General features: G+C 43.0%; 1 long non-coding RNA gene across 6 annotated transcripts in view; it reads right to left on the reverse strand.

The window, feature by feature from the left end:
- The window catches only part of LOC101928421 (uncharacterized), a 37,633-nt gene that overhangs the window by 16,458 nt on the left and 11,668 nt on the right, over positions 1-9,507 (reverse strand). For 4 of the 6 annotated variants that reach the window (XR_001745169.3, XR_927172.4, XR_242157.5 and 1 more), the window contains 2 exons: positions 5,028-5,152; positions 415-4,932 (listed from right to left, as the gene is read on the reverse strand). This is a non-coding gene — a long non-coding RNA (uncharacterized LOC101928421). Of the gene's footprint in view, positions 1-414; positions 4,933-5,027; positions 5,153-9,507 lie in introns of those variants that run through there. The other 2 variants (XR_007060285.1, XR_007060284.1) reach the window with 1 other exon arrangement.

Consider the following 9,507-nt stretch of genomic DNA (forward strand, 5'->3'; position numbering starts at 1 on the left):
GAGGGACAGGCCTGGGGGCCCTTCCTCCTCCAGGAAACAGGGCTCCTCCCTTCTCCATATTGTAGGTCTCTGACAGGAGCCTCCCAGAGGTGACCAGACCCCAGATGGACACAGCTGCATGGGAACCTAAAAAAGGCTGGAACCTAAGCCCTCTACCTTGAGAACAGCCATGAGGAGTCCTGTGGCCAGGCCAGCAGTTGACAGGGAATGTCCCTACAATTAGCTTGCTGTGAGCTTACTTAAACAACAGTGCCAAAACATAGGCCGAGTACCTGGGCTCCACCCGCAGTAGTGGAGGTGGTGCCTAAAGAATGCTCATGATCCCAGGCCTCTCCCAGCCATGTTCTTGAGCTCATAAGATTCCAGGTCCCAGATTAATTCAAAGATGATTGATGAAGTCACAAAAGTCACTCATTCACTCAGCAAATATTTATTGAGCATCTACTTTGTACCAGGCACTGATCTAAACACTGGAGATACATCAGCAAATAAAAGACCACAGCGACATCACTAGCAGGGAGAGCCATGGATTAAGCACTAAATGTAATCTGCAAGTAAAACATACAGTCTCCTAGATGGTGATGGGGACTCGGGTAAATAGAGAAATGTAGGGGTGGGTGTGTGCGGAGGAAAGCTCAGGGAAATAAGAGTAGGTCCTGAACCCTGAGGTGGGAGCCTGCCAAAGGTGTTCAGGAACCAGCAGGAGGGTAGGGTGGCTGGAGAGGAGGGGCTGAGGAGAGGGCATGATTGGGGGTAGGTCAGAGAGGTGCATAGGGGAGCTTTGGCTTTTACTCCACGTGGAATGGAAGCCACTGCGAGGTGTTGAGCACGAGAGGAAGGAACCAGATGAGAATATTGCCAAACAGAACTTGGGCCCAGCTACCTGGCACAGCAAAGCCAAACACTGATATCAGGATTTACGGCAAGAAAAAGTGAGGCATTTATTGCAAAGCGCCAAGCAAGGAGAATTGGGCAGCTCATGCTTAACACCAGAACTCCCCACTGGCTGACAGATAAGGGTTTTTCTAAGGCAGTGATATAGTTTGTATATTTCTCCCTGCCCAAATCTCATGTTGAATTATAATCCCAGGTATTGGAGGTGGGGCCTGGTGGGAGGTGACTGGATTGTAGGGGTAGATTTCTCATGAATGGCTTGGGCCATCCCCTTGGTGCTGAGTGAGCTCTCGCCCTGAGTTCACATGAGATCTGGTTCTTTAATGGTGTGTGGCACCTACCCCCACCAATCCCTCTCTCTCAATCTCTCTCTCTCTCTCTCTCCTGCTTTTGCCATGTGAGGTACCTGCCCCCCTTTCACATTCCACCATGACTGTAAGCTTCCTGAGGCCACCTGAGAAGCCAAGCAGATGCCAGCATCATGCTTCCTGCACAGCCTGCAGAACTGTGAACCAATTAAACCTCTTTTCTTTATAAATTACCAGTCACAGGTATTACTTTATAGCAATGCAAGAACTGCCTAATATAGACAGGAAGGCAGAGGTTACAGGCAAAGTCATCAATCAACAAAATGAAGCTATACATTGGCTTGGCCTAAAAAAGGCAGGACATCCTGAAACGGGGTTGGGAGGACTAAAGGTCATAGGTGAATTCAAAGATTTCCTGACTTGTGATTGATTAAGCTTTGTTTAAAAACTTGGGGTCAGTCAAAAGGAATGTTGAGCTCTGGCCTGTGGGCATGACTTCCTCTGGGCACCTCAGGAAGAAATTTAGAATAAGTGGCAGGCAGAGTTCAGTCCTTGTTCCCCCTTATCTGAGGTCTACAGGCCGGCAGATGGCATTTTCCATTTGCTGGGGGTCCAGGTTTATAAAAAACAACTCAAAGACATATGTGAAGATGTTACCTTTAGTTTCTATAGGGAACGAAAGAGTTTGTAGCTCTAGCTTCCTTGGCTGTTGTTTAAAATTACTATTGGCCAGGCACAGTGGCTCATGCCTGTAATCCCAATACTTTGGGAGGCCGGGGTGGGCAGGTCACCTGAGGTCGGGAGTTTGAGACCAGCCTGACCAACATGGAGAAACCCTGTCTCTACTAAAAATACAAAATTAGCCAGGCGTGGTGGCGCAACCCTGTAATCTCAGCTACTTGGGAAGCTGAGGCAGGAGAATCTCTTGAACCTGGGAGGCAGAGGTCATGGTGAGCTGAGAAGGTGCCATTGCACTCCAGCCTGGGCAACAAGAGCGAAACTCTGTCTTAAAAAAAAAAAAAAAAAAAAAAGCTACTGTTCACCTTTTTTTTTTTTTTTTTTTTTTTTTGAGATGGAGTTGCGCTCTGTCGCCCAGGCTGGAGTGCAGTGGCGCAGTCTTGGCTCACTGCAAGCTCCGCCTCCCGGGTTCACGCCATTCTCCTGCCTCAGCCTCCCGAGTAGCTGGGACTACCGGCACCCGCCACCACTCCCCGCTAATTTTTTTTATTTTTAGTAGAGATGAGGTTTCCCCATCTTGGCCAGGCTAGTCTCAAACTGCTGACCTCAGGTGATCCACCTGCCTCGGCCTCCCAAAGTGCCAAGTCTTTATTGTAAACCATTACTGGCTGCCTGAATTCTAAAATTCTTAGGACTTAAGAAGCAACAAGCCATGATTGACTAATCAGTTGAAAAAAAAAAAAAAACAGGTCAAGATGGACCCATCCTGAGGCTCAATCCCAAATGCCAGTCTCCTTTCTGTACCCTCAAGTGCACCTGTCTGGCTTGAAAACAAATTCCCTCTATTTGGCCTCAAGCTAAGCTAACAGAGCAAACAATTCCTTCTACCCAGGCCTCTGCTTTGTTCCAGGGCTTGTGTTTTACTGGGGCCAGGGCCCTGGAGCCACCCTCAGGGATGAGATTTCTCCTTCTCATGAAGGAAGCAGTGTTGAAAGCAAAGTATTTGATTCCTGTTCTTGAGGCCTAAACATTTAACTGTAAAGTATGTAAACTGTGTTCTGGAATTCTGGCTATGGTATGTATCAAGCTACATAAACAACATGCCATCTCGTCTCTCCACGTAACACAGAGGTACAGAGAGGCTGAGATAAAGAAACACATAAATAGGTGGTTAGCTGTGATATTAAAATAAGGGAATCACTGGGAGAATTTCTGTGCTGCTGGAAATTAGAGCTGCCATTGTATAAAAGCTGCATACATTTTGACTTGATATCACCATCAGTTAAGCAGTGGTTATAATATTTTGTCCTGGAAATGTATAAAGTTAAGAGACTACTTGTTTTTCCAGGAGACAGCTTTCCGAAAAATGTTAAAGCAGATTTTCATAAATAAATTATTAGGCACACCTCTATTTTTTTCTATAGCAATGATCACTTTTTACCATAATAGATGTACTTATTTACTTATTTTTTGCACTTACTATTTATTGACTCTTTTATATAAATTTACATAATTTACTTATTTGGTGCATTTATTGATTATTGACTCTTTCCCTCTACTACAGTGTGTAGTTCTTTGAGGCAGATGGAGACCGGTGCATGTGGTGGGTGTTGCTGCTGCTGTGGTTGTTGGCCCAGGACACAGCTAAAAACTCAACCCAGGTCTTCCTGGCTCCACATCTGGAGGTCTATTTTCTCCCCAACTCTAGCCGTGTAGGTGCAGGGCGCCAACCCTAATTCTTTATTACCCTAAAGGTGTTACAGGACTATTTAATTCACAAACAGGGAAGAGATTCTCCCTTTACCAAGCCTCTTCTATTGCAGTTCTCAGTTGCTGTGATGTTCTCCATGCAGACATGGCCTGATCTACTATTTCAACCTTAACATTTCTCAACCACTAAGAAATTTTAGTTTAGTTTTGAATCCCAAGCACCCGGGACACTGGAATAGTGATCATGGAGGAAAGGCAAGTTCTAACCTTTCTAATGAAGGAACAAGAAAACAAAAGCCCAAACCTTTATTGTAAATCATGACAGGGTGCCCAAATCGAACACAAAATGTAATTTTACATTTTATGTAAAATTGGATGCTATTTTTGAATACCACTGGGTGCTTGGAATTCAAACATAAACCAAACCCCTGCATTAATTGCCCATAGAAATTGATCCTGTAATCAATATCCCTCTGAAAATTTACACTAGATCTCTAGCTTTATGTTTTGAATCAATCTCACATTGAACTCACAACGTGACACCAGTTTCTGGTGTTTGTCTTTAAGATAAGCAGGCATAGGGCCTATACTACACCAGGTCTCCAGAGTTTTTATTAAAAGTGTCTTATCTTACATGTACTGTAAGTGAACAGGTGCTCACATCCCATAGGGCACTGGGAAAAGGATCCTTGAGTGCAAAATGTCACAGGTTGCACAAATCCCATTGTCATTTCAAGGAGACTCCTCACTACATTCCTAACCAAAAAGCCAAATTGAATTATTATAGAATTCTGGAATGAACCTCCTAATCCTTTCACAAATCTCTGTCCATCTGCTTCCATCTGACCACACTGGTATATGATCCACCCATGTGAAGACTCTTACTCAGACAAATCATTGGAGATTTTTAGTCAGAGTATAATTTATGTACCAAGTCAAAATATCTATCTGGAAAATATTAGAAAAAGTCAATATAACGAAAAGCTTTCCCTTGTCTCTTTCTTGAAATTCTTCTCTAGCTTAACCTAATTTCCTAAGTCACTTAGAGGCCTTTAAACAAAATGAAATCTTAATGATGTCTCTGCCATGAATAATTAATTGTTGGTGTACAATCTTCTCAACAAAATCCATTCTCATTAGATTAGAGGTTTCCGCAAGATACATGAGTTCATTATGGACATTTTTACATCCTTCTTGTATCTTTCTTTCTTTGTCCATTTTATCTGTGCTGTGATCTGAGATTCCATCACCCTGACAGCCTTCCAAAGAGAAGCAGTGGTCAGGCAATTAAAGACCTTTGAGAAGTGGTAACGTCTTCCTGCTTCAAAACATGGCAGCGTAACTGGAGAGGAAACAATGAACAGTGAAGGCTTGAACTGACCATGGTGGTTTGGTCTTTCAGTGGGAAAGAGGAGGATCTGGGGAAGACAGACTTACCTGTCCTCTTAGAAACTTCTACATCCATCAGTCTTCTGTCTCATGAGAAAGCCTTGAAGACCAGAAAGTCCTGGGAAGAAAGGAACATTGCACCAACCGAACCTCTTGTGTTTTCTTTTCAGATGCTGAAATGCAAGGTCATAGACACAATGGAGAAACTTTAGAGGCCATTTCCTGCTCATTGGACAAATAGCTGGCCACTGCCATGAGTTACAGGTCTAGCCACTGTGCTTCTATGAACTTTGTCCCCATCCCCTTCCCAATCCCTCCTTTTCATTCTTCCCTCCTCCATCCTCACATACAAATGTGTTCAATTGTTCCAACTGTATTGCTGAACCAAGTCAGATTTATTAAATCTATGTTTGAATTTAAAAGCCTAATCTGGAAGAAGAAAAGAATCTCATATACAACTTCAAACACGTTTGAATTTTTCCTCCTAGACATAAAGTATATACACTGGATTATGCCTAAATTACTGTATTTTAAAGTAATGATTCAAAGAACAGTTAGGCATAGGACAGGCTTTGCAGATGTCAGGCACAGAGTTCTTTGTTTCATACATTTTTTACATAGCTATAATCACCCAAGAGACACAATCCTGTATCCTGTTCTTGCTCATCTGTCATGTACATTTTTGAGGTTATAACATTGTTTCTACAAACATCAATTAGAAATATTGCATGGCACTCCATCGAGTCGATACACTCTATTTCAATAAACCATGGTCTTTTCCTTCCATTTTTTAACTACTGTTAATAATGGTGCAATAAGCGTCCTTATGTAAAAAGCTTTTCTGATATTTAGGATTATTTCCTTAGATTCAGCTCTTCTAAGTGGAACTGCTGGATAAAGGAGAATACTTAGGTTTTTGAGATATGCTGTGAAATAGCTTTTCCAAAACACTGTTCGACTTTATGTTCCCACATATACTGTCAGCTGGACCAAAGTGAAAAAGATCAATGAACTTGCAGTTTCAGGTGGTCACAATGTACATAAGAGACTGACTTTAAATATTTATTATGAAATGTACAGTACATACAGAAAAGTATATAAAAATTATATGGTTTAAAGAATAATAATGGCCGGGCACAGTGGTTCACACCTGTAATCCCAGCACTTTGGGAGGCCCAGGGTGGGCAGATCACCTGAGGTCAGGTGTTCAAGACCAGCCTGGCCAACTTGGAGAAACCCCGTGTCTACTAAAAATGCAAAAATAAGCCGGGCGTGTTGACACATGCCTGTAATCTCAGCTACTCAGGAGGCTGAGACAGGATAATCACTTGAACCCAGAAGGCAGAGGTTGCAGTGAGCCAAGATTGTGCCACTGCACTCCAGCCTGGGTGATAGAGCAAGACTTTGTCTCAAAATAATAATAATAATAATAAAATTAACACCCATGTACCCACTATCCAGTTTAAGAAATAGAATATTATGACCACATTAGCAGCCCCTCTTGTGCCTGCATTAGTGTATCACAGCAGCTACAGACAGATCTCAAAATGTCATTGATGTAAAACACACACACACATACATTGATGTCCCTCTCACATCACGGTCCATGCAGGCTCAGGAGCTGTCCTTGCCACCTCCAACAGTAATTTAAGACCCTGGCTCTGGCCCCATTGAAACACAAGCTCTGGAACAAATTTAGGACTGTTAAGAGTCTTAACAGTAATTTAAGACTCATCATTTCACCACCTTGGAATTTTTGCTTTTAGTTAAGTAGAATAAATAAGAGAGGACACAGAGAACTTACATCTGCTTTTAACTGCCTTTCTCAAGGAGTGACACATCTCTGCCTTCTTTGGTAAGAGCTGCCACACGGCCTCGACTTAACTCTAAAGGGGGTTGGAAATGTGGCCTCCTTTATGTCTGAACAATACTGTCCATCACACATTGCCTCTGCCACAGTGTCCTTATCCCCGACAGATAACCCCTTCCTGCCTTCTGTGTTAGTCACTCCCTTGCTTTTCTTTAAATAGTGTTGTAAAAATTGCCTAGGAAGCACAAGTCTGTGTAAGAGAAGGAAAATATCAACGCTATTCTACAAGGGTTCCCAACAGAAGAGAAGGTGGAAAAATGGGCATCACAGGCTGGCTTCCGCTTCCCTGAGAATCTATGAGAGCCCTTTCTAGGGATGTCTGCAGGCAAGGTTATGGCTAAGTCATGGAAACCATAAATTAACACATCTGGAGCATCAGACAGAACTATAATTTGAACCACCTACTAGACACCTGTCAGAAAGAGCTTCGGAGGGAGGAGGCTGCTCGGCATTTTCTTCTAAATTCACAGCGCTCCTCTGTCAGCCCTCAGGAGGAGTTCAGAGCTAACCCAAGCATCAAGGGGAGAGCAGTAGCTTTAATAGCACTGAGCCAAGAGAAGAAACAGGACCAGCCTCCCCCAGGCATTCTTCCTCGGGTCTCACAGACAGTACTAAGACAGCAGGGATCTTGCGATGATGGCCCTCAACTCACAGAGGCTGCCTTCCAGCTCCACTGTTGGCCACCAGCCTGGGAGCTCCCTTCATCATCAGCCTATGGGTTTCCTTCACCTCTCTCCTGCTTTGAATCTCCAGATTCCAGTGCCCCCAGCTCTTTATTCCTTGGTTTACTCTTTATCATTTGTTATTCTTTGAACATAGGGAGCTTTCATTATTTTAAAGTTGTAACTCATAACTCCAATGTCTGGAGTCCTGACGGCCTTTTCTATTGTCATTCTTTCTGCCAGAAACATACCGTCCAGCAGCTTCTTAAGAAATGGTGCGTGACAGGTACGTTTTTTGAGAAAATACATAGGCATTTTTGAGTTTGCAACATGTTTTTTACAACCATCATAGAATGGCAGCATGACATTCCATTGAGTGTACTATGGTTTGGCTGTGTCCCCACCCAAATCTCATCTTGGATTATAATCCCCATAATCCCCATGTGTTGTGGGAGGGACCCAGTGGGAAGTAATTGAATCATGGGGTGGTTTCCCCATGCTGTTCTCATGATAGTGAGTTCTCACGAGATCTGATGGTTTTATAAGTGTCTGGCATTTCCCCTGCTGGCTCTCATTGTCTCTCCTGCTGCCCTGTGAAGAGGTGCCTTCCACCATGATTGTAAGTTTCCTGAGGCCTCCCCAGGCATGCAGAACTGTGAGTCAATTAAATCTCTTTTCTTTATAAATTACCCAGTCTCGGGTATTTCCTTGTAGCAATCTGAAAATGGACTAATACAGAGTGGATACATCCTATTTTACCATACCATGCCCTTTTTAAAGATACTTTATATTGTTTTTCATTTTTCACTACTATTAGTAAAGCTGCAATGAGCATCTTTCCACATATGGATGCCCTCCATGAACAAGGTAACCTGGTGGGCACTATGGAGAAAAAGTAAGGACACAGTTTAGTGGGCACAAAACAAGAAAATGACAGCAAAGGGAAGCAAGTATATATCTACACACACACACACACGCACACACACACACACACACACACGCATGCCTAACAGAGAAGCATGTGATTATGTTTTCCTAAGAGTCTGGGGTACAAAATGCCCTCCGGCAAAAACTAAAGTTCTCTGAGGTCTTTGTGTGTGACTTAATTACACATGCTAATTTTCCGTTTTAATCCATAATTATCATGATGGTTTTGACATTGAATAATAATCTTTTAAATTACTTACCAGTTACCTCATCTGTGGCACCAATTTTAGTTGCTACTTCTCTGAAACCTCCACATCCGTGCCCTATACAATCCATCTCTCAGGTTCCAGTCCAGCATCCAAACCTGGACCCCTCCTCCTGGAAGTCTGTCTTCCGCTGTTCCTCCCTTTTGCCTCCAACTCATCGTATTTAGAACTGAAACAGCATCCCCGATCCACCTCAGATCTGCCTCTAACCCTTATTCCAGCCTAGGATATGAAGATTCTATTTCCATTATAAATCTACCAGATATCAGCCAATTTAATTAGGTGGAAGACTTTTATTCTGTGGAGGTTTCTCACAAAAAAACAAGCGAAGGTGGCTAAAGTATTACCAAGGGACTGTTGCCCTCTGCCCTTTGACAGGAGTAAGCGAGGACTCTTCGTCATTCTAGAGGGGTTCAGAGTACCCAGAGGGCCCAGAAGCCCCAGCAGTGACTGGCATGGGAAAGAAAAATGGCGGGAAGTACAGGATGACAGGAAAAAAGAGAGAGTCAAACACTTCTCTCTGAACACAACTTTGTAAAAGGACTGGGCTACAAGGAACCCAGTCTTTTATTCAAATTACTTCTCATTACTTAACTGAAACTCAGTTTCCTCAGTTGTAAAACAGTAATAACAGCTGTCCACCTTGAAGACATGTTATTGTTTAATTCTTACATTTAATAAATATTTCTAGAATATTATCTGTAGAGTTGGTGCTAAGGATATCACAATAACAGGACATAGTTCCTGCCTTCAGGGTCCCTGTGGTCTGCTTGTAAGAGAGACCCAAGGAAAGAGGCAATCAC

This window comes from Homo sapiens, chromosome 7 (genome assembly GCF_000001405.40).
Source record: "Homo sapiens chromosome 7, GRCh38.p14 Primary Assembly".
In the NCBI taxonomy this organism is placed as follows: Eukaryota; Metazoa; Chordata; class Mammalia; order Primates; family Hominidae; genus Homo; species Homo sapiens.